The following is a 26,905-nucleotide window of genomic DNA, read 5'->3' as shown; positions in this document are numbered from 1 at the left end:
GCTCAACATCACTGGTCATTAGAGAAATGCAAATCAAAACCACAATAAGATATCATATCATGCCAGTTAGAATGGTGATCATTAAAAAGTCAGGAAACAACAGATGCTGGAGAGGATATGGAAAAATTAGAATGCTTTTGCACTGTTGGTGTGAGTGTAAATTAGTTCAACCATTGTGGAAGACAGTGTGGTGATTCCTCAGGGATCTAGAACTAGAAATACCGTGTGACCCAGCCATCCCATTACTGGGTATATAACCAAAGGAATATAAATCATTCTACTATAAAGACACATGCACACATATGTTTATTGCAGCACTATTCACAATAGCAACGACTTGGAACCAACCCACATGCCTATCAATGATAGACTGGATAAAGAAAATGTGGCACATATACACCATGGAATACTATGCAGCCATAAAAAAGGATGAGTTCATGTCCTTTGTAGGGAAATGGATGAAGCTAGAAACCATCATTCTCAGCAAACTAACACAGAAACAGAAAATCAAACACTGCATGTTCTCACTCATAAGTGGGAGCTGAACAATGAGAACACATGGACACAGGGAGGGGAACATCACACACTGGGGCCTGTTGGAGGGTGGGGTGCTCGGGAAGGGATAGCATTAGGAGAAATACCTAATGTGGATGACGGGTTGATGGGTGCAGCAAACCACCATGGCTGTATACCTATGTAACAAACCTGCACATTCTGTACATGTATCCCAGAACTTAAAGTATAATAATACCAAAAAAAAAAAAAGCATGACATGGTCAGGTATGCCTTTTAAAGGTCAAAAGACAAATTAGGAGACTGTTTCAGAAATCCAGGTGAGAGATGTTGGCAGCCTGAATCTGGGTAGTGGCAGTGGAGAAAAGCTGACTGGTTGTAAGATATGCAAGAGACTGAACAGACAGGACACTGAAATTGAATGGATATGAGGGACGAGGAAGTCGGAAGTCAAGATTAACATTCAAGTTTATAGTTGGGCAACTAGGTAAAGAACTTGCTCTTAAAAAAATGAGACAGAAAAGAAAATTGTGTGTTAAATTTGAGGAGTCAGAATAACCACATATAGTGTCCTATAGAAAGTTAGATCAGTAGATCTGATGTTAATGAGAAGTATTTGATTAGAATTATTTATTAAGGAATTATTAGCATATAGTTTGGGATTAGAGTCATCAGGTTAGATGCAATTTTTTGGGAAGACTTCTCCCTCAAGAGAGAAGAGAATGAAATATGAAAATTACATTATGAAGTGGAAGGAGTACAGGTAAGGAAAATTTTTAAGAGTAAAGAAAGAAGAAACAAACCAAGCTAGTTTGGTGTCATAGAAGCTCGGGAGAGGCAATGCCTCAAGAAAGGATTACTCAATAGCAGTATATGATGCTGAAAGGTGGCTGAGAAACACCCATTGCATTTTCAAAAAAGGAAGTGATAAACTTGTCAAGAGAAATATTAATGGCATACTGGGGGCTAGAAACCAGAAAGAAGGAAGAAATGAATTAGAAGTTAGTAAATTAAGAAAGTAAGTAGACAACTATTTTAAGTGAGTTGCACACAAAGGACAAGAGAGAAAGAGGAAGGTAACTGGTGGTAGACAATAGGTGAATAATAACGTTATCTTACTTTGTGTAATTTACTTGTTTAGTTTGATAATAAGAGAGACAGTTTCATTTAAAGATTGTTGCAAAGGAAAAAGAAACAGGAAGAAAAGGAAAAAAGAGAGGGAGGAATTCATAGAAAGTGGTTCCTAGGAAAACAAGTGGAAATGGAAAGATAAATCTTGGAAAGGAGAAGTGAAAATCAGAGGAGAAGTTAAGCATATTTATCAGTTTAGTGGTGGGAAAGAGACAGTTTCTATTTTACATCATCATGTTCTCATTGTAATAGGATATATAGCCATCTGCTGAGATTGAAGGAAGAAAAGGAAAGTCAAGGGTTTGAAGAGAAGGTTCCAAATCATATTTTATGAACATCAGGAAAAAGACTGCAGACTTGAAAAACACATAGGCAAACAAAAATGTTTGGAGACATTGTAAAGTAACTCCTGCTTTGATTAGGGGTTAGAGGGATTATTACATCAAAGAATGAGTTACTCCCTGTTGGGGTCTTCCTCAAAACCACAAAAAGTTATATCATCATATCTGAAAATTTATCTTGGAATAGCCCATTTCTATCCATTGTGGCTCAGGAATTATGATAATCAAAATAAATAGCAAGTTACAGTTTGCCAGAAATACTTCTCATAATTCTCCTGCACCTATGTGACAAGTTGCTTCCTACCATATTGAAAGCTCTCTCATAATTCTTAATATGATAAATATGATAAAGTTAATAATTTTTCTTCAAATTTTTCTAACATTTACTATGACCCTCCCTGCTTTATTCTGTGCTTCTTATCTCATTCTTCACTTTAAATTCTTGGAAACAAGAAAAGTCCTAATTATCTAATGGCATTTACTTTGTTGGGGTTAAACAGACTTTGATTCCAAAATGCCTGAGTTCAAACCCAAGTTCTGCCATTTATTAGTGGATGACTTAAGCAAGCTACTGACCTCTGAATCTCGTGCTTTTACTTGTTAAATGGAAAGAATGATCTCATAGAATATTTTGAGAATTTTATGTAATATAGGATCCTAAATCAATGCCCGATACCTAGTTAACTCTCTACATGTTATTGTTGTTTTGCTGGTATCTGGGGATATGGGACAGGGGCCATGTTTCAGGCAGGCTTCTGTTCACTGTGTGCTCTTCTTGAAGGAATATATTTTGATTGGGGGCATATTTACATCCAGACAGAGTTCCATATTGTAATAAGAGCCTGTCTCACCAGATTAATACGCTGAAGCTTTTCAAAAGGACTGATTACCAAGAAAACCAAAAGGAAAAGTGCTGGAAGGTAGAGAGAAAAAAATATTAAATTGTTGTATTTCCATACCATTTAAAAATTAGATCCACTGCCTATCTCTTCTGGGACCCCTGTACTTGGACCAGAGACTATTTTCATGGCTGGGTTAAATAGCAGGCAGACCTTATTGACTATAAAGGCTGGCAGACCTGGTAATGACTCACAGAAGGAGACTGTGGTGCCTACTTGTCTGAATAATTTTAAGGACTTGGCAGATAATTCTCAAGGACTTTTTAATTGTAGCCCTGTGAAAGCCAGAAGACAGGCTAATGACCTTTGAAGCTTTCTTTCATTCTTGACTCTATAAGAGCAATTCTTAGTTTACCTTAGTATGATATATTTCACATGTAATGTGAATATGATTCATTCTAATTGCACATAGCCTTACTGCCAAAGATGGTCGTGGATAGAGCTCCTTCCTGTCTTCTGTATAAGGCAGTGGCCCTGCCTGTTGTTTAAATTAGCCTTTCATGCAACCACTAACTCAAGTCTAGTGATGATTCAAGCCAGAAGCAGTAATTTTATTTATATGATGTCTTGCATAGAGGGCAGGCTAGTAAAAGAAGAACAAATCTGGAATGGACAATGAATTAAATCAAAGCAGCTTTGTACTTGGGATGTACTCCAGTAGAGTACAATGGAGTCTATCTGCAGAGGTTTATAATGACTCTGCCAATATTAATTATTCACTATGCAGCTTACTCATTTTCAGGGAACTTGGGATAATACTAACAAATATAATTTTCAGAGTTTCCTGCTGAATAATACAGCACATAACAGCTTTAGCTGTCATGTCACTAGCTGACCAAAAAAAAAGGTATTTTCAAGGCAATATTTCAGTGGATAGAATAAGTTCAGATGGTTCAAAAGTTCATAATAAACATACTTCATAGTTTCTTTCTAAATGGTGAAGGAAGGCTTAGTGAGGGAAATACTTTTACATCTGATTCCTTTGGGATAGCAAAATACACATGGTGGATTAAATATATTTAGCCCCTATCTACTTTGAGCTTTCTTCTCCTGCTTTATACCTATAAATGATTCCACTGACTGAAACTTCATATCATATCTGATGTAAAATAGACCAAGCTATTGGTTGGGTTGGCAAAAACATGTTGTCATTTATTGATGGGAAACCAAAAGCCTGTTTTTGTGAATGAAGTCATAAGTAATTTTCTTTGATGGGAAGGAGTCAGTTTGAAAGCAGTATTATAAAAGACCCTGGGTTTTTGATGGATGTTAATAACAGCATAAGAAAAAGGCTCTTCCTAGTCATGTTTTATTGCTTTATTCTATCCTCAGGATCTAGCCTTTCAAAATGTGATACATTTGCCTGAGCAGTGGAAAGGCGTTCTCCCAAAGAGAAATGCCATGACAGTCTTGTCTTTGTTCATTCAGTGAAATGCTGTTTGGATATGTCGTGCGAATATATCTTCCAATTTAACATGTTTATCATGGAAACAATAATAATAATGATGTGATGCTATCCTAAGTCTTCTTTAACTAACCATGTTTAGGAGAGCTGTAAAATATAAGTGAAGTGATTTTGTTTTTAAATATCTGAATGACTCTCTTTAGTTAGGTTAATTTTTAAAACTCTGAAATCTGTGGCTTTTTACATTATTTTGAAATCACTGTATAGTTTGAGTAGCTGAATGAAAATGTAAATGAAATTCATATTATATTTCCTGCAGATAGATTCTCATTCATCCTAGTACTATTAAACTGAGCATCAGGGAAATGCTACACTTTGAGTCAGATTTGATTAAGTCTGTAGGAAAGTCATTCCCAACAAAGACTAAAATCTATTGCCATGTAAAATACATCTTTGCACTTAAAAGAGACATTAAGCATGATATTCTGTCATTATTGTATATTAGAAAAGTGTGTTAGAAAATAAGATTTTATCTAAAAGCCAGTAGGAGTTAAGGAACAGGAGTAATGAGTGAAAAGAAATTTGTAATCATAATTAAAAATGTGTTATTTGTAACCGGATGTGGAGAAATTACACATTTTAAGGAGTAAGCATTTGAGCTTATTTCACAAAAATAGATAATCTTAGAATAAGCTTTGCAAATATTCCAATTAATCACTAAGGTCTATGGTTAATTATAAAAATTTTGAAACAATGGAAATTATCACATTGTCAAACATTTTTTAGAATTATTAAAGTTCGTGCTGAGGTAGATGTAAGAAAGGCGGGTATATGATGGAACCTTTTTTTATAATTTTTAAAGATCAGCTTGCCCATTACATAAACGTCTAAATATAAAAGAAAAAATATATGTCTGATGATTAAATAAAAATTCTAGTTACCATAATATTTACACTATGGTTGTCCAAATTTTCATATTTTGAAAAATATGAACATTTCAAAAATTCTTATTCTTCATGGATATGCAGACTGCTAAAATGTTATGTATAATGGGATGAGGAAGCCATCTATAAGATTTATGAAGATAATAATGAGTTAAAATATTCAGTTTTGAATAATTTGAAACCTCCTACACTAACACTCTAAGTCAAAGTCATGATCAGGTAAGTGCTTCTAAATTGTCATCATATTTGACCCTAAATATACTGTATTTTCTTTCCCAGTAGAGTTGATATGATTTGGCTCTGTGTCTCCACCCAAATCTCATGTTGAATTGTAATCCTCCATGTTGGGGGAGGGACCTGGTAGGAGGTGACTGGATTATAGGTTGGATTATCCCCTTGCTGTTCTGGTGCTAGTGAGTGAGTTCTCACAAGATGTGGTTGTTTGAAAGTATGTAGCACTTCCCCCTTCGCTCTCTCTCTCTCTCTCTCTCTCTCTCCTGCCACCATATGAATATGTACTTGCTTCCCCTTCAGCCTTCTGCCATGATTGTAAGTTTCCTGAGGCCTCCCAGCCATGCTTCCTGTACAGCTGGCCGAACTGTGAATCAACTAAACCTCTTTTCTTCAGAAATTATCCAGTCTCAGGTAGTTCTTTATGGGAGCGTAAGAATGGACAAGTACAACACTGGTCTACTAAGGCATAGGGACATAATGAATACACACAAGCAAGAATGATCACTGAGAGACAACTGGAAAAAAAAACTTATCTCTAAGATTCTCCTTAATATAGCAAAGATTAAAAACATTCACTGCACAGCAGTTAAAGTTCTATCAGTCACCTCCCAGAGAGGTAGACAGAAGAAGAGGGCATCTATTCAATCGCAGGAAGATGTTGTACCTGCTCCCTTTAGTATTAGTCACGGTTCTCTAGAGGGACATAACTAATAGGATAAGATATATACATATATAAAGGGGAGTTTATTAAGTATTAACTCACACAATCACAAGGTCCCACAATAGGCCCTCTGCAAGCTCAGGAGGAAGGAGAGCCAGTCTGAGTCCCAAAGCTGAATAACTTGAAGTCTGATGTTCGAAGGCAGGAAGCACCCAGCATGGGAGAAAGATGTAGGCTGCGAGGCTAAGCCAGTCTAGCCTTTTCACGTTTTTCTGCCTGCTTTGTATTCTGGCTGCAATGGCAACTGATTAGATGGTGCCCACACAGATTAAGAGTGGGTCTGCCTTTCCCAGCCCACTGACTCAAATGTTAATCTCCTTTGGCAACACCCTCACAGACACACCCAGGATCAATACTCCGCATCCTCCAATCCAGTCAAGTTGACACTCAGCATTAATCATCACACCTTCCTATCTTTTTCAGACTTCATCCTCCCCCTCCCCCTCAGCTCCCACATTGTTCAATACACATAGTCCTGTTTGTTCTTGTACATGTCAACATAGGTTAACATAAATTGTTCAGGCTGAACAACCACAAAAGAACCTACTTGTGTTCCTCACTGAGGATCAAAAGTTAGCCACTTATATTGTTTTCAGGTAAAAAGTTCCTCTGCTTTATATGTGTAGTCAAGTAACATACATACAGCAAGTCAACTCACAGTGGGATATAAATATTGCTTTGCCATAAGTTTTTGAGACAACTTCTGAAGACAAATAAAAACTAACATTTGTTAAATGCTTTACATTATCTGTGAACACTAACAGTGAGACAGAGAAAAAAAATGTTTGTGTACTGCTTCCAAAGTATGACATAGTCTATTTAGTTTACTAATAACTGGACAGTATTGGCCATAGCAGAAGATGTGAATAAATGGGGTTAAGTAATAAGTGCATTAATAATTTATGTATATTGAATACTTAAAATTCCATTAGGCAATTTCATACATATTATTCACTTGCATATTACATATGATCAACAAATAAGTGTATGCATCGACTAAGTGTGTAGGCCTGTGGTAAATGCAATAGAGAATATATGGAAGTAGAGCTAACAATCCACAGCTTCATGGAGTTCCCAGTCCTTTTGGGGGACAAATAATGTGCATACATGGGAAAACTTAAATAATAATCATATATTAATGATAATGAGTGTGAACAGTATTTATTTGATCTGTACACAAACCTGCAAGATGTGTATACTATGTAGACACTAAAGTGGTATTATACATATAAAGGATTTAAACAGAGGAAGTGCCAGGATTTCCTGTTTGCTAAAAACAAAATGCCCCAAACTTACTGTAGAAATTAGCAGATAACTCTATTTTCTGAGATGGGATATATAAATTTTCTGTCACTCACTATCATTGTTCAAGGTTAATGCTATTAACACACTATCTGTATGCATAAGTATAAGTGGAAAAAAAACACTCGATGATTTAAGGCATTTCTGTGTAATGTGGTAATGTTTATCTCCAGGTATCCCCACCAGAAAGAAAAAAACAGATCTTTCTTCATTGATGTTTCAGTTAATTCTTTTATAGATTTTTCCCACTTATATATCAAATAAGTAAATCAAAAGAAATTTTTCTTAAAATCAGAGCTACTTCTGGGATTTGACCTTTGAGAATACTATAGCTGATTTACTGATTCCCAGATCTAACATACATCCTTTATCTGTTTTCTCCAACTACCTTTTTCTCCAGCTGATGTCTGTAGAGCCCCTTTCCTGGAATCACATTTTTAACAATCCTGCTCAAATTCTAAGCACCAAATTGCCTTTCCTTGAAGAATGTCTGAGGCCTGTACACATAAGATAAGATACTAGAAGATGACATAGTCTATGCAATTTGTCTACAGAAATCTTCACCAAATGATCAATGACCACTTCTAATGGAAATATGGTTTCAATTCTCCCTTTGACAGATGGTCTAGCCTACATTCCCAAGAGATATGTTTTTTCTGTCAACTTTTTTTTTTAAATATATGTGCTCATGTTTTGGGCCAATTTAACAACTATATTACACTGTTGGTGCTATCCTGAAGTACCACATCTGCTTTCAAACTGAGTTGTTTTTCCTATAAAGTGATATATATAATCCTCTACGAGAAAGCATTTTCAACTCAGATTTCAATATGGTCATTTCAAATCCAGAAGTAAAACACACAAAGAATCCAATGTGCCTTTTTTTTAGCTACTAAGAGCTATGGTCATGCAGATAATTTAGTTTAAGTTGGTTAATTTGTTCAAGAAAGTATACTGGCACCATCTTTAACCATGACATAATTCAATCAAAAAGGATTTGAGGTCATACATTATGCTGTCAAAAATCACTTCGCTTGTATGTCTCTCAGTCTACAACACTCAAATAACTCAACCTGACAATCAAACTAGCTAAACTAAGAATAAAGTCCTGCTTTAACAAGATTCCAGAAATGCTACTGCTCTAGGACAGAACCAGTTATGACAATCTCCCAGTTACCTCTGCTCCCTTCCTGGCTATTTTGCTTTATCTTTTAGTGCCTGTATGTCACTTAAGTATCCGCCCAGAATTTTGATTTCTTTTCCAGTTCCCAGCTATCTAGACTAGGAATCTCCAGCTTGTTCTTTCTCACTAGTCTATTTCTCTTACCTGAGAAGAATTCAAAACTGGAATTGGATATTTAAAAATCCAAATTAGGGATGTACTCTATGCTGTACTCATCATCAGATGCAATGCAATTTCATTTAGGAAGCATACCTAATTTAAGGGACCAACATGGTGATTTGCTAACAAGTTGTTTGTTTCAGTGGTTCCGTGCATTTTCATTTTAACAGTGGGTGGCCAAGAGAATGGATGTAATAAAATATGAAAACAGCTGAAATAAATACAGTGCTGGTGTTGATATGAAAAGACAGATCATTCTCTTTCAGGAAAACCTTGATAAAATCAAATGCTGATTGTTCAGTGATATTTAATCTTCAATTTTATATATTTGTATATGCATATATAATTAGGTATATATAAATACATAAAGTATAGATACCTATATATGTGTATATATATACTTGTGTATACAGCTTAAGTATATATATACACATATATCATTTTATATATATATATATATATATATATATATATACACTTAAACTGTAAATTGAGCCTAAAAGATAATATTAACTCTTTCTGATTAAAGCATCTTAAGAATAAAATTATGAATCTTATCTATTGGAATGAAGAAATTAATATGCTTGATTATTGCCTCTCCAGGTGGCTTTGAGTTTATGTAAGCCCTGATTTTCTGTGTATGTCTTGATTTAGCTTGAATACCAAAATTACGGCTCAATAGTTTGCTTAGATACTTATCTGATTCTTCAAATCTACCTCAGCTTCCTTGGGATCAGCTCTTTGTTCTCAATGGTTCATAGCCCTATGGTTACAGAGATATTAATTAATATACTATACCAATGGTTTCTCAATACTGGCTGTATATAAGAACATCTGGTGAGGTTTTTTTTTTAATATATTAAATGACCAGGGCCCACACCAAATGAGTTAAATCAGAATTTCTGTGGGGAAAGCCTAGGCATCAACACTTAAAAGTTCCCTAGGTTTGAGAACCGTCATTCTATCAAATATACCAGCTATTTCAGGAGATGTCGCCGGCACTCAAAGGTATTATTATCTCTCTGAAGAGATAATGCAGTTTAAAAAAATTTCAGTGACCAGCCAGGCGCAGTGGCTCACGCCTGTAATCCTAGAACTTTGGGAGGCCGAGGCGGGCGGATCATGAGGTCAGGAGATCAAGACCATCCTGGCTAACACGGTGAAACTCCGTCTCTACTAAAAATACAAAATATATATATATATATCCGGACGTGGTGGCGGGTGCCTGTAGTCCCAGCTGCTCGGGAGGCTGAGGCAGGAGCATGGCATGAACCCGGAGGCAGAGCTTGAAGTGAGCCGAGATAGCGCCACTGCACTCCAGCGTGGGCAACAGAGTGAGACTCCATCTCAAAAAAAAAAAAAAAAAAAAGTCAGTGACCACTGGGAGACAATTTAGATGAAGTTCTTAAGTTCTAGAGTCAAATAAATGTGCATTCAAATTTTGGCTCTGCTGCTTACTAGATAGGTGCCTGTGAGCAAGCTAAACCTTTCTGATTCAATTGTTTCATTTGTAAAGTACGGATTCCGTAATACCTCATAGAGTTGTGAAAATTAAATGATAATGTAGGTAGAATAATCAGCAAAGCACCTGTCCAAAGGAAGTCAACAAATAAGAAAGTGAAATGTCTGTATTTTGAGATAACAAATACAAAAGTTGGAGTAGGAGGAAGACTAGAATTGTTAGGAATGATTCTAACGTGAATGGGGAGCTTAATCCGGATCATAAAGTATGTGGAAAGGTTTTATATAAATTCAACTGTGGCTGTGCCTACATAAAATTATGGATCAATAAGGCTATCTATAGTGGCCTATTAAGTTAAAGCACTAACTTATTGTAAATTAGGCTAAATTGCTGTTTTCATCAAATTCACCTTATATTTTCAGAATTTTGGATATTGACTATGAAAAATACTTTTCTATAATATTGATATATTAAATCTCTTTCTTGTACAAGGATAGAATTTACAGCAAGTGTTTTCAACAGTGTGACCAACCATCTCAGTTGCCCTAGAACTAAGGAGTTTCCTAATACGGACTTTCAGTGCTCAAACCATGATTGCCTCAAGCAAATTCGAATGCTCGGTCACTGTAGATGCTTATAATCATATTATAAACACAAAGCCCCATGCAACACTTCATTACCTAACCCTGCTCTCTCCGTATATGCTGTCTATTATCCAGATAAGTTCTATCAAATTCTTGGCTGTATCTTGCAGCTGAGCCACCTTTGTTCCTGATGATTTCCTGAGCTGGGTTTTCTCAACTTTTTGCCGATTCTTTCTGGGATTCTTCCTTTTCTACTTAAGTAGAATTAGTTTCTGTGACTTGCAACTAAGAACCTTATTAAAGTAGCGACATCAAATAAGGAGAATTCTGAGATGTTATAGATATTATGTATTTTCCAGAATTTTCCTTAAATGCAAATAGATTTTATGGAGCAATGTTGTCTCTGGGGGTCATTGCACATAGTAGATGCTCTGAAAACACTGTCAAAGACTGAATAAATGTTCTCACTCAGGAAACTTGATACCCACCAGCCAGTGCAGGAACACGCTTCTGATACATCTTCATCATGGCAGAAGGGAAAATCAGGAGCGGGGATCCTTGGAAACAGCTGGAGAAACTCATTATTTATTTAAAAACTAGCTTCTTTCAAAATAAGAACCAGGCTTTGAAGATTTAGAAGTGCCTATGGAAAAACTCAAAATGGAATGCTCCTGTAAGTCAAAGTGGTGTGTTTCCAGGTGTTAGAAAGATTACATGAGTGAATAATAGCTGAGAAAATCAAAGAAGCAAGTTTTTCAAATTGTGGTTATTTCATTACTTAAAACAATAAATATGCTAGCCCACTCCAACTCAGAATATTATCTAATCATAAATGTCTGGTGAAATACAGTTAGATTTTATTCATTACTTTTCCCTTGGGAGGATATTTCCTTCAGCATTCTTCTGTCTTTTTCACATTTATTTGGTTTTAGCCTATTTGTTTTTGGAATGTTGCGGTACAATGTATAATCAGTTTATTTTTGTCAAGTTACTTTTATCTTTAAGTTCAACCTCCGAAAATAAAAATATCAAGACATTTCTATTTTTAAGTTCTTTCAAGGCTTACAAACTATTAGGAGATTGTGGATTCATTTTTGCTTAGGAAGTCTATTTTTAATTTACCCATTTTTTAATTAAAAATGTCCATGTTTTAAAAAATGGATAGCATATTCCTTAGTAGTTAGCCAGATGAAATCAAGAATTCCACATATTTGTTTATTTCTGCTTTAAAGACTGAAAAACAGTGTGGACAGAAAATGTAGCATCCAAAGACACTTCTGTTGGTGCTAGAAAAGAATGTTAGATTTTAAGGAACAAGGCAGCTGAAGGTACACATATAGAAACTGAAAATATATTCTGTGTTTCACTTTATTAATATGGCATCACATTATTAACCCATTATCACTATATAACCCTGCAAAATTAAATACCTTTTACCCTAGTTGGAAAAATCCTCATAGCCCCTATTGTCCTTGTGCAAAATTAGTATTCTCCGTTCTTCCTTCCTTCTTCCTTCTTTCTCTTCTTCTTAATAATGCAGTCAAAAAGCCATAAGAAGGTCCTAGTCAGAAAGAAGCAAGGACTGGCAGGAATTGAGGGAAGGTAGGCCCCCAAGTGGGATGGCAACCCATGAGGATTTTGAAATTGAACAAATAAAAAAAATTGAGAATGGAGTCCAATTTTCTCACTGAAAATGAAATGTTATAAATATGAAAGCCTAAGCCTAGAAGATATAGATATAAATTCAGATAAGATATAGAGATCCACTGTACACTGAGAGGGTCTCGGAACAGTGATACCCCACAGCAATGAGTATACACATCACTAAGACCTGCCAGGGCTCCTTGGATTATAATAGCTAACTTTAGGACGAGACCAAGAAAATCACAAAATAAGACTGGAATGTGTTATGCCAGATATTAAGGAAATACATAAAGAATGTTAGGACCCCGGCAGATGTAGAAGCCAGCTTGAAGGGGGTTTCTACTGGCCAAACCTGGGATAATTTACTATTGAAATACTTAGTGATAATAATATATTCTATCCCACTGAATAAAATAGGAATCCATAAGTCTACAATGATGAAAGAAAGGGGGAGGGAGGAAGGGAGGATAAGGTTTACCAAATAGTAAAATTACAACTAATAAATGTAAAAGAGATGATGAAATTTGAAAATCACTGCTTGTCAACTACATTCATAATAATTCGCATGAGAAACATCAACAAAACTTGTTAAAACTATTGGGTGGAATGAAGAATGGGATGTATATGTAGTGTCAAAGTATTTTCCTGCAAAACACGAACAAATTATGAAAGAGAAAAGAACGAAGCAGGCACAGTGGTGTGCACCTGGACTTTCAGTTACACAGGAGGCTGAGGGCTGAGATGATCACTAGGTCCAGTAGTTGGAGTCTCACCTATCTATTTAAAAATAAAAATAAAAAAAGAAGAAAAGAAAAAAATGTTTATTTTTTTTAAAAAAAGAAAAGAACAGCCTTGCAGTAGAGAAACATGGATGATTATGACCTTCCTCGAGTGGTCAAAGTTAACATTACCAGTGACAGAATGAAATAACCTCATGTACCACCTGAGGGAATGCAGTGAAAAGGGCACAGAATCACTCCTATGACATTCCTAATTTGAATATAATAAGAGGAAACACCAGACAACGCAAAATTCTGCAAAATAATTAGCCTGTAATCTTCAAACATCTGAAGGTCATTGTATTAGTCCCTACTCATGCTGCTGTGAAGAAATACCCAAGACTGGATGATTTCTAAAGAAAAGAGGTTTGATTGACTCACAGTTCCACGTGGCTAGTGAGGCCTCAGGAAACATACAATCATGGTGGAAGGCACCTCTTCACAGGGCAGCAGGAGAGAAATGAATGCCAAGTGAAGTGGGAAGCCCCTTATAAAGCCATCAAATCTCATGAGAACTCACTCACTATCATGAGAACAGCATGAGCAGCATGAGGAAAACCACCTGCATGATTCAATTACCTCCCACCAGGTCCCTCCCATGACACATGGAGATTATGGGAAATACAATTAAAGATGAGATTTGGGTGGGGACACAGCCAAATTGGGTGGGGACACAGCCAAACCATATCATTCCACCCCCAACCCCTCCTAAATCTCATGTTCTCACATTACAAGACACAATCATGCCCTTCCAACAGTCCCCCAAATTCTTAACTCGCTCCAGCATTAACTCAAAAGTCCAAGTCCAAAGTCTCATCTGAGACAAGGAAAGTCCCTTCTGCCTATGAACCTGTAAAATCAAAAGCAAGTTAGTTACTTCCTAGGTACAACAGGGGTATGGGCATTGGTAAATACACCCATCCCAAATGGAGAAATTAGCCAAAACAAGGGGCTATAGGCCCCATGAAAGTTTGAAATGCAATAGGGCAGTCACTAAACCTTAAAGTCCCAAAATGATCTTCTTTGACTTCATGTCTCACATCCAGGTCATGCTGATGCAAGAGGTAGGTTCCCACACCTTGGGCAGCTCCACCTCTTTGGCTTTGCAGGGTATATAATCCCTTCATGGCTGCTTTCACACTGGCATTGAGTGTCTGTGGCTTTTCCAGGCACCCAGTGCCAGCTGTTGGTGGAGCTACCATTCTGGGGTCTGGAGGATAGTGGCCTACTTCTCAAAGCTCCACTAGGCAGTGACCCAGTGGGTACTCTGTATGGGGGCTCCAACCCCACATTTCCCTTCTGCACTGCCCTAGAAGAGGTTTGCCATGAGGGCTCTGCCCCTGCAGCAAATTTCTGCTTGGACATCCAGGCATTTTCATACATCTTCTGAAATCTAGGTGGAGATTCCCAAACTTCAATTATTGACTTCTGTGGACCCACAGGCTCAACACCATGTGGAAGCTGCCAAGGCTTGGGGCTTCCATCCTCTGAACAATGGTCTGAGCTGTACCTCAGCCCCTTTTAGCCACAGCTGGAGCAGCTGGGATGCAGGGCACCAAGTCGCCAGGCTGCACACAGCAGGGGGTCCTGGAGCAAGCCCAGGAAATCATTTTACCCTCCTAGGCCTCTGGGCTTGTGATGGGAGGAGCTACTATGAAGGTCTCTAACCTATCCTGGAGACATTTTCCCCCATTAACATTTGGCTTCTCATTAATTATGCAAATTTCTGCAGCAGGGTTGAATTTATCCCCAGAAAATGGGATTTTTTTCTATTGCATCATCAGGCTGCAAATTTTCCAAACATTTATACTGTGCTTCCTCTTGAACACTTTGCCATTTAGACATTTCTTCCACCAGATATCCTAAATCATCTTTCTCAAGTTTGAAGTTCCACAAATTTTGGGCAGGGGCAAAATGCTGCCAGTCTCTTTGCATATCAAAACTGGCCTTTACTCCAGTTCTCAACAAGTTTCTCATCTCCATCTGAGACCACCTCAGCCAGGACCTCATTTTCCATATCACTATCAGCATTTTGCTCAAAGCCATTTAACATGTCTCTAGGAAGCCCCAAACCTTCTAATATCTTCCTGTCTTCTGAGGCCTCCAAGTCTCTAAGAAGTTTCAAAGGTTCCCACATTTTCCCGTCTTCTTCTGAGCCCTCCAAACTGTTCCAACATCTGCCAGTTACCCAGTTCCAAAGTCACTTCCACGTTTTCAGGTATCCTTATAACAGCACCCCACTCTCTGGGGTACCAATTTACTGTATTAGTCTGTTCTCATACTGCTATAGGGACATACCTGAGACTGGGTATTTCATAAAGGAAAGAAGTTTAATTGACTCACAGTTCAGCATGCCTGGGGAGGCCTCAGGAAACTTACACTCATGGCAGAAGGCACCTCTTCATAAGGCAGCAGGAGAGAGAATGACTGCCATGGCAAACAAAGGAGGAAGCCCCTTATAAAACCATCAGATCTCATGAGAACTCACTATCATGAGAACAGCATGGTGGAAACTGCCCTCATGGTTCAACTATCTCCCATAGGGTTCCTCCTATGACACTTGGGTACTACGGGAACTACAAATCAAGATGAGATTTGGGTGGAGACACAGCCAAACCATATCAGTTAAGAAAGACAAGGAAGGATTGAAGAACATTTCTATATAGAAGAGTACTGAAAAGACATGTCAACTTCATACAACATGAGATCCTGGATTATATCATTTTGTTATAAAAGACATTATTTCAATAGTTAGTGAAGACTTTTTTTTAATAAGTTTGGGTATGAGAGTTTTCTGTACTGTTCTTTTATTATTATTATTATTATTATACTTTCAGTTCTGGGATACATGTGCAGAACGTGCAGGTTTGTTACATAGGTATACACATGCCATGGTGGTTTGCTGCACCCATCAACCCATCATCTACATTAGGTATACTGCCTAATGTTATCCCTCCCCTAACACCCCACCCCCCAACAGGCCCCCATGTGTGATATTCCCCTCCATGTCCATGTGTTCTCATTTTTCACCTCCCACTTACAACAGAGAACATGCGGTGTTTGGATTTCGGTTCTTCTGTTGGTTTGCAGAGAATGATGGTATCCAACTTCACCCATGTCCCTGCAAAGGACATGAACTCATCCTTTTTTATGGCTGCATAGTATTCCATGGTGTATACATGCCACATTTTCTTTATCCAGTCTATCATTGATGGGCATTTGGGTTAGTTCTAAGTCTTTGCTATTGTGAAGAGTGCTGCAATAAACATATGTGTGCATATGTCTTTAGAGTAGAATGATTTATAATCCTTTGGGTATATACCCAGTAATGAGATTGCTGGGCCAAACGGTATTTCTGGTTCTAGATCCTTGAGGAATTGCCACACTGTCTTCCACAATTGTTGAACTGATTTACACTCCAACCAACAGTGTAAAAGCATTCCTATTTCTCCACAACCTCTCTAGCATCTGTTGTTTCCTGACTTTTTAATGATCACCATTCTATCTGGCATGAGATAGAATCTCATTGTGGTTTTGATTTGCATTTCTCTAATAACCAGTGATGTTGAGCTTTTTTTCATATGTTTGTTGGCTACATAAATGTCTTCTTTTGATAAGTGTCTGTTCAGATCCTTCACCCACTTTTCAGTAGGGTCGTTTTTTACTTGTAAATTTGTTTAAGTTTTTTATAGATTCTGGATATTAGCCCTTTGTCAGATGGATAGATTGTGAAAATTATCCCATTCTATAGTCTGCCTGTTTACTCTGATGACAGTTTCTTCTGCTGTGCAGAAGTGCTTTAGTTAAATTAGAACCCTTTTGTCAATTTTGCCTTTGTTGCCAATGCTTTTGGTGTTTTAGTCATGAAATCTTTACCCATGTCTATGTCCTGAATGGTATTGCCTAGGTTTTCTTCTAGGGTTTTTATGGTTTTAGGTCTTATATATTTAAGTCTTTAGTTCATCTTGAGTTAATTTTTGTATAAGATGTAAGGAAGTGGTCCAGTTTCAGTTTTCTGCATATGGCCAACCCATTTTCCCAACACAATTTATTAAATAGAGAATCATTTCCCCACTGCTTGCTTTTGTCAGATTTGTCAAAGGTCAGATGGTTGTAGATGTGTGGTATTTCTGAGGCCTTTGTTCTGTTCCATTGGTCTATATCTCTGTTTCGGTACCAGTACCATGCTGTTCTGATTATTGTAGCCATGTACTATAGTTTGAACTCAGGTAGTGTGATGCCTCCAGCTTTGTTCTTTTTGCTTAGAAATGTCTTGGCAATGCGGGGTCTTTTTTGGTTCCATATGAATTTTAAAGTAGTTTCTTCCAATTCTGTGAAAAAGTCAATGGTAACTTGATAAGAATAGCATTGAATCTATAAATTACTTTGGGCAATATGGTCATTTTCATGATATTGATTCTTCCTATCCATGAGCATGGAATGTTTTTCCATTTGTTTTTGTCCTCTTTTATTTTGTTGAGCAGTTGTTTGTAGTTCTCCTTGAAGAGGTCCTTCACACCCCTTGTAAGTTGGATTCCTATGTATTTTATTTGCTTTGTAGCAATTGTGAATGGGAGTTCATTCATTATTTGGCTCTCTGTCTGTTCTTGGTGTATAGGAATGCTTGTGATTTTTGCACATTGACTTTGTATCCTGAGACTTCACTGAAGTTGCTTATCAGCTTAAGGAGATTTGGGGCTGAGATAATGGGGTTTTCTAAATATACAATCATATCATCTGCAAACAGAGACAATTTGACTTCCTTTTTTCCTAATTGAATACCCTTTATTTCTTACTCTTGCCTGATTGCCCTGGCCAGAACTTCCAATATTATGTTGAATAGGAGTGGTGAGAGAGGGCATCCTTTTCTTGTGCCGATTTTCAAAGGGATTGCTTCCAGTTTTTGCCCATTCAGTATGGTATTGGCTGTGGGTTTGTCATAAATAGGTCTTATTATTTTGAGGTTTGTTCCATCAATACCTAGTTTACTGAGATTTTTAGCATGAATGGGTGTTGAATTTTGTCAAAGGCATTTTCTGCATCTATTGAGATAATCATGTGGTTTTTCTCATTGGTTCTGTTTATGTGAGAGATTACGTTTATTGACTTGCATATGTTGAACCAGTCTTGCATCCCAGGAATGAAGCCAACTTGATCGTGGTGGACAAGCTTTTTGATGTGCTGCTGGATTCGGTTTGCCAGTATTTTACTGAGGATTTTCACATCAACGTTTTCAGGGATATTGGCCTGAAATTTTCTTTTTTTTCTTGTGTCTCTGTCAGGTTTTGGTATCAGGATGATACTGGCCTCATAAAATGAGTCAGGGAGGATTCCCTCTTCTTCTATTGTTTGGAATAGTTTCAGAAGGAATGGTACCAGCTCCTGTTTGTACCTCTGGTAGAGTTTGGCTGTGAATCCATCTGGTTCTGAACTTTTTTTGGTTGGTAGGCTATTAATCACTGCTTCAATTTCAGAACTTGTTATTGGTATATTCAGGGATTCGACTTCTTCATGGTTTAGACTTGGGAGGGTGTATGTGTCCAGGAATTTATCCATTTCTTCTAGATTTTCTAGTTTATTTGCATAGAGGTGTTTATAGTATTCTCTGATGGTAGTTTGTATTTCTGTGTGATCAGTGGTGATATCCCCTTTCTCATTTTTTATTGCATCTATTTGCTTCTTCTCTCTTTTCTTCTTTATTAGTCTGGCTAGCGATATATTCTGTTGATCTTTTCAAAAAACCGGCTTCTGGATTCATTGATTTTTTAAGGGTTTTTTGTGTCTCTACCTCCTACAGTTCTGCTCTGATCTTAGTTATTTCTTCTCTTCTCCTAGCTTTTGAATTTGTTTGCTCATCCTTCTCTAGTTCTTTTAATTGTGATGTTAGGGTGTCGATTTTAGATGTTTCCTGCTTTCTCTTGTGGGCATTTAGTGCTATAAATTTCCCTGTACACACTGCTTTAATTGTGTCCCAGAGATTCTGGTACATTGCATCTTTGCCCTCATGGGTTTCAAAGAACATCTTTATTTCCGCTTTCATTTCGTTATTTACCCAGTAGTTATTCAGGAGCAGGTTGTTCAGTTTCCATGTAGTTGTGTGGTTTTGAGTGAGTTTCTTAATCCTGAGTTCTAATTTGATTGCACTGTGGTCTGAGAGGGTGTTTGTTGTGAATTCCATTTTTTTGCATTTGCCGAGGAGTGCTTTACTTCCAATTATGTGGTCAGTTTTAGAATAAGTGTGATGTGGTGCTGAGAAGGATGTATATTCTGTTGATTTGGGGTGGTGAGTTCTGTAGATGTCTATCAGGTCCACTTGCTCCAGAACTGAGTTCAAGTCCCGAATATCCTTGTTAATTTTCTTTCTTGTTGGTCTGTCTAATATGACAGTGCAGTGTTAAAATCTCCCACTATTACTGTATGGCAGCCTAAGTCTCTTTGTAGGTTTCTAAGGACTTGCTTTATGAATCTGGGTTCTAATGTATTGGTTGCATATACATTTAGGATATTGAGCTCTTCTTGTTGCATTGCTTCCTTTACCATTATGTAATGCCCTTTTTTGTCTTTTTTGATCTTTGTTGGTTTGAAGTCTGTTTTATCAGAGACTAGGATTGCAACTCTTCCTTTTTTTTCTGCTTTCTATTTGTTTGGTAAATATTCCTCCATCTCTTTATTTTGAGCCTATGTTTGTCTTTGCATGTAAGATGGGTCTCCAGCACACCTATGGGTCTTGACTGTTTAACCAATTTGCCAGTCCGTGTCTTTTTATTGGGGCATTTAGCCCATTTACATTTAAGGTTAATATTGTTATGTGTGTGATCCTGTCATTATGATGCTAGCTGATTATTTTGCCCATTAGTTGATGCAGTTTCTTCATAGTGTTGATGGTCTTTACAATTTGGTATGTTTTTGCAGTGGCTGGTCTCTGTTGTTCCTTTCCATGTTTAGTGCTTCCTTCAGGAACTCTTGTAAGGCAGGCCTGGTGGTTACAAAATCTCTCAGCATTTGCTTATCTGTAAAGGATTTCGTTTCTCCTTCGTTTATGAAGATTAGTTTGGCTGGATATGAAGTTCTGGGTTGAAAATTCTTTTCTTTAAGAATGTTAAATATTGGCTCCCCTCTTTTCTGGCTTGTAGAGTTTCTTCTGAGAGATCCACTGTTAGTCTAATGGGCTTTGTGGGTAACCCAACCTTTCTCTCTGGGTACCCTTAACATTTTTTCCTTCTTTTCAACCTTAGTGAATCTGACAAGTATGTCTTGGGTTGCTCTTTTCAAGGAGTACCTTGTGCTGTTCTCTGTATTTCCAGAGTTTGAATGTTGGCCTCTCTTGCTAGGTTGGGGAAGTTCTCCTGGAAAATATCCTGAAGAGTGTTTTCCAACTTGGTCCCATTCTCCCCGTCAACTTTCTGGTACACCAATCAAACATAGATTTGGTCTTTTCACATAGTCCCATATTTCTTGGAGGCTTTGTTCATTTCTTTTCATTCTTTTTTCTCTAGTCTTGTCTTCTCACTTTCTTTCAGTAAGATGTTCTTCAATCTCTGATATTCTCTCTTCCGCTTGATCGATTCGCTTACTGATACTTGTGCATGCTTCACGAAGTTCTCATGCCATGTTTTTCAGTTCCACCAGGTCATTTATGTTCTTCTCTAAACTGGTTATTCTAGTCAGCAATTCGTCTAACCTTTTTCCCAGATTCTTAGCTTCCTTGCATTGGGTTAGAACATGCTCCTTTAGCTCAGAGGAGTTTGTTATTACCCACCTTCTGAAGCCTACTTCTATCAATTTATCAAACTCATTCTCCACCCAGTTTTGTTCCCTTGTTGGTGAGGAGTTGTGATCCTTTGGAGGAAAAGAGACATTCTGGTTTTTGGAATTTTCAGCCTTTTTGTGGTGGTTTCTCCCCATCTTTGTGGATTTATCTACCTTTGGTCTTTGATGTTCGTGACCTTCAGATGGGTTCTCTGAGTGGGCGTTCCTTTGGTTGATGTTAATGCTATTCCTTTCTGTTTGTTAGTTTTCCTTCTAACAGTTAGGCCCTCTGCTGCAGGTCTGCTACAGTTTGCTGGAGGTCCACTCCAGACCCTGTTTGCCTGGGTCTCACCAGTGGAGGCTGCAGAACAGCAAAGATTGCTGTCTATTCCTTCCTCTGGAAGCTTCATCCCAGAGGGGCACCCATCAGATGCCAGCCAGAGCTCTCCTGTATGAGGTGTCTGTCGGTCCCTACTGGGTGGTGTCTCCCAGTCAGGATACATGGGGGTCAGGGACCCACTTGAGGGGGCAGTCTGACCCTTAGCAGAGCTTGAACGCTGTTCTGGGAGATCCACTGCTCTCTTCAGAGCCAGCAGGCAGGAACGTTTAAGTCTGTTGAAGCTGCACCCACAGCCACCCCTTCCCCCAGGTGCTCTGTCCCAGGGAGTTGGGGGTTTAATCTATAAGCCCCTGACTGGGGCTGCTGCCTTTTTTTCAGAGACGCCCTGCTCAGAGAGGAGGAATCTAGAGAGGCATTCTGGGCACAGTGGCCTTGCTGAGCTGCGGTGGGCTCCACCCAGTTCCAACTTCCCAAAAGCTTTTTTTACACTGTGAGGGTAAAACCACCTACTCAAGCCTCAGTAATGGCAGACGCCCCTCCCTCACCAAGCTCAAGTGTCCAAGGTCGACCTCAGACTACTGTGCTGGCAGTGAGAATTTCAAGCCAGTGGATCTTAGCTTGCTGGGCTCCCTGGGGGTGGGATCCACCAAGCCAGACTACTTGGCTGCCTGGCTTCAGCCCCCTCTCCAGGGGAGTGAACGGTTCTGTCTCACTGGTGTTCCTGGTGCCACTGGGGTATGAAAATAATCTCCCACAGCTAGCTCCATTTCTGCCCAAAGGACCGCCCAGTTTTGTGCTTGAAACCCTGGGCCCTGGTGGCATAGGCACCAGAGGGAATCTCCCGGTCTGCAGGTTGCAAAGACCACGGAAAAAGCGCAGTATCTAGGCAAGAGTGCACCATTCCTCAGGGAACAGTCCCTCATGGCTTCCCTTGGCTAGAGGGGCAAAATCCCCCAACCCCTTGCACTTCCTGGGTGAGGCAATGCCCCACCCTGCTTCAGCTCACCCTCCATGGGCTGCACCCACTGTCCAAACCGTCCCAATGAGATGAATTGGGTACCTCAATTGGAGATGCAGAAATCATCTACCTTCTGCGTTGAGCTAGCTGGGAGCTACAAATCAGAGCTGTTCCTATTCGGTCATCTTTCCAGCAAATGCTCTGTACTGTTCTTATAACTTTTCTATAAGTTTGAAATTATTTCCAAATAAAAAGTACAACTTCAAAACATTCTATGAATGAGTAAGCAAAGGTAAAATGCCTGACAATGTCAAAAGCTAATTAGCATCAGAGTGGGCACAATTCCAAATTATCATTTGAGTATTCTTTCCTCCCTTCTCTTTCTTCAGGTAGAAAGAAATATCAATCCATAGGGTGAGGGGGGTTGTTGTCTACACTGCCAGATCCAAGTGCCTACAATAGTAGCAGGCTCACATTTGGTGCTCAAAAATACTCTGGATTACTGTATTTTTATTATGAATACTTCTGCCTTTAAACTATGATTTTTTAATGCTTTCAATCTCCATTTCTAAATTGATTATTTCTAATCATAGCAGAACAATAAGGAAAAATGCTCCCTTCTGCTCTCAGTTTATGCAATCTCTGAAAAGTAAAAAAGAAATGTTCCAGTGCTTTTCAGGAAGCAGAGACAGAACATACAAACAGCAATATGGCTCACTGAGTTTTCTTCATCCTCATTCATGACTCTGAAGGCTATGCCACTCCATTCATGCACTCACAATAAATGTCACTCTTTGCCCTTTACAGTCTGCAGTGACCTTCAAAAGTGAGTCTAACAGGTTAGTTTTCTCATTCCTTCAAGGACAATATTTAACAACCATAGGTACTTATAAATGCTTTATAGATACTCTATATAACTATAAACCAAAACAAATTTATATATTAAGTGGGAAAAGACCATACAACCATTAAAATTCAGTTGATAACATAATTTAATGTTATAGATCATGTTGTATTCCTGACACTACATCATCAATTTTGAATTTTAAAGTAGAAAGCTTTATTTATGAGTTTAATTGGTTGCTTGTCAATTTGATTCTTTAATTTGAGGCAAGAGAGACCATCTATCCAAACAAAAATGCTATCTAATGACAAATTTTCCAATGGGTATCTACAGCTAAAGTACTGATAATTTACTGCTTTATTCACTCACTTAATATTTATTACTTGTCAGTCTCTGTTTCAGGTTCTAAAACTATTGCAAAAAAATACATACAGAAATTAGAATGTGATAAGAACATCTTCTCAATAGCTAAGTATGGTACTGCCGTAAGTTCTTTTTGAGTTCAACATGCTTATACTACGGCTGGGCGCTGTGGCTCATGCCTGTAATCCCAGCACTTTGGGAGGTAAAATGGTAAAATGCCTGACAATGTCAAAAGCTAATTAGTGATCCAAGGCAGGCAGATCACCTGAGGTCAGGAGTTCAAGACCAGCCTTGCCAAAATGGCAAAACCCCGTCTCTACTAAAAATACAAAAATTAGCCAGGCATGGTGGGGTGCACCTGCAATCCCAGCTACCCAGGAGGCTGAGGCAAGAGAATCGCTGGAACCCAGGGACAGAGGCTGCAGTGAGCCAAGATTGCACCACTGCACTCCAGCCTGGGCAACAGAGCAAGACTCCATCTTAAAAAAAAATGCTTATAGTAGCACTTACCACTTTTATAAAATTACTACATAAATTTTATTGGCACAGTGTTTCATAAAGTCAGTTGGCTTCTACTTTGGGGGAGTTCTACTTTAAGCACAAAACCAAATTCTTGGTTGCCATCATACTGAGTCATATTTTAGACTTCATTATGGTAAATAGATGGTATAAAGTACAAGTGTATCTCATCCAAAATGTCAGTTTTAGCATCTTAACACAGTATGCAACGTATTATTGATAATAAATATTTATTGAATTAAATATGAAGGAGTGAACAAATAAATGCTCATGTTTCTCCCAGAGCTCCTATTTCCTAATTAGAATAGTTTAATTAACCAAACTGAAAGGCAGTAATCATATGGCAATTTTTATCAATGTTTGCAAATACAAGTGAGAAATTACATTGCTATCAGTCCATTGTTCTTGCGGCTTTTGAAAGGTTTTAAGAATACAGGAAATCTCAAAGTTTTGTTAATTTATTGGAATTGGAAAAGGATTTTTGCATTGGATGGTATGGTAAGGACCTCTTCCATGATTTACTCAAGTTGTCTTTTCCTTAGATGCCAAAAAGCACACAAAACGATGAACTCAGAAACAGCAGAGTGTCCAGACTGAAAGGACTCATAAAATCCTAATATAATTAAAAGGGAGACAATACCAGATGATATTTTCAATTTTAAAATAAATCTTGTCCACAGCTTTGGAGAAAAGGGAGAAAAACATGATTTCCAAAGTAGGTTATGTATTTCACACCAGGAAATCAATTATCCATGCATATTAGTCATAAGATAAGTAAGAGATTCTTCTCTATTTCTGATGGCTCACTTCATTAAAAAGAGAACACTTCCAGAATAGGTTATGCTTTTGAAAAATAATAATAGCTTCACTTTAGGGCTCCATCTGCTCTCAGACAAAGTAGAACCAATGAAGTACAAACTCTCCAAAGAATACTAATCAGATTTGTATATAAACAATATTGTACTCCAACTTCTGGCAGTTTGGAGACAAAACATATTACTGAAAGTTCTACATTTTTTTAACATGTTAGTGGTGGTGGGAAAAGCAGAGAAGGATAAGTAGGAAGAACTTTTCTTGAAGTGGGAATTATGAAATTTTCAAGACGAAAAGATAAGGTTGAACTATATCTATCCCAGTGTGTTTTTGCAAGTATCAGCTCCCATAATGTCATCATGTAAGATCTCAATTTATATAGACACTATGTATTAATGATCAAAGTGCAGGATTTCTCTCTTCCTCCCCAATGTGGTAAAGTTAGAGTAGAAGTGGGGTCATTTTTCATGATTTGTTGTATTTGAAATGACAATATGGTCTCCTATAAAAATTTTAGAAATCAAAGTCATGTTTATTTTTTTCTCTTTGTGATATTTAAGTGTTAAACCAAATATGTTGTAAGTTATCCAGTGTCATTAAATACTAATACACATACACGCACACCTACACACACACACATTGCATTTAACTTAAAAAAATAAAACCAGTTTACTTATAGCATTATACAATAATAGAATCAGCCCAACCATCTTACTTTCAGCAGGAACATAACTAAAACAGCCAATGAATTATCTACTAGCTTATTTCTCTTTTTATAACTTAGCTTTTCCTTCTTTAAGTTTTACTTTTATAGTGTCATTATGTTGTATTCTAACTATAAACATATCCAGGCGATTTCTAGAAGTTGGTGAGTATTTTTTTAGTTTAATAAAATAACCATTTCTGAAGTATTTAAGGACAATATACTTACTGGGTCTCAGAAACACATTAATTAAGCCTCTGTTTTGTGTCAAGTACATTTCTGTTAGTTCCACTTTCTCAAAAACCAGGAGATCAAACAAAAATTAATTTTTACATTCAACAAAATTTTGTAACAAATTTTAATCTGATTATAAATTTTAACCAGAAAACAAATATATTATTGTGATTTTTAAGACTGCAAAAGAAAGTTTTACAGTACTATAAATAGTTAATAGTATACTGGTAATGTTTAAACTGAAGAAGAAAATAATCAAATGACACCAAGAGTTCCCTTGTCAGAATGTTTTACAGCATAGCTCCTTTAACCAGTGGCCAGGTAGATTCTGCCTCTTTTTAAAAGAAAATATTTGTGGGTATATATAGATATTTTCTGCATTATGGGGTACATGAGATATTGTGGGTACATACAGATATTTCTGTATTATGGGGTACTTGAGATATTTTGATATAGACATACAATGCATAATAATTACCTAAGGGTAAATGAGGTGTCCATCACCTCAACCATTGAGTCTTTGTGTTACAAACAATCTAACTATACTCCATTAGTTATTTTTGAATGTACAATATATTATTGACTATAGTCCCTGTTGTGCTATCAAGTACAAGCTCTTACTCATTATATCTAACTATTTTTTGTACCCATTAACAATTGTCACTTTCCCTACCTACTACCCTTCCCAGCCTCTGTTAACCATCATTCTACTCTCTATCTCCAGGAGTTGAATTGGTTTAATTTTTAGCTCCCACAAATAAGTGAGAACATAAAAAGTTTGTCTTTCTATGACTGGCTTCTTTCATTCACTTAACATAATGAAATCCAGTTCCATCCATGTTGTTGCAACTGACTGAATCTCATCCTTTTTATGGCTGAGTAGTACTCCATAGTGTATATGTAACACATTTTTCTTTATCCATTTATCTGTTGATGGAGACCTACGTTGCTTGCAAATCTTGGCTATTGTGAACAGTACTGCAACTAACATGGGCGTGCAGGTATCTCTTTGATATACTGACTTCCTGTCTTGTGGTTATATACCCAGCAGTGGGATTGCTGGATTGTATGGTACCTCTAT

The 26,905-nt window shown here is 37.5% G+C and overlaps 1 annotated feature.

The window, feature by feature from the left end:
* Positions 21,126-21,626: an enhancer, noted in NCBI's record as "H3K27ac hESC enhancer chr12:83694145-83694645 (GRCh37/hg19 assembly coordinates)". NCBI's record gives its function as "activates a minimal SCP1, AML or CMV promoter by ChIP-STARR-seq in primed H9 embryonic stem cells {active_cell/tissue: H9 hESC(primed)}" and the evidence as "EXISTENCE:reporter gene assay evidence [ECO:0000049][PMID:30033119]".

The sequence above is a fragment of the Homo sapiens genome, chromosome 12 (genome assembly GCF_000001405.40).
Source record: "Homo sapiens chromosome 12, GRCh38.p14 Primary Assembly".
NCBI lineage: Eukaryota > Metazoa > Chordata > Mammalia > Primates > Hominidae > Homo > Homo sapiens.
This window is presented reverse-complemented; position numbering and strand designations above follow the sequence as displayed.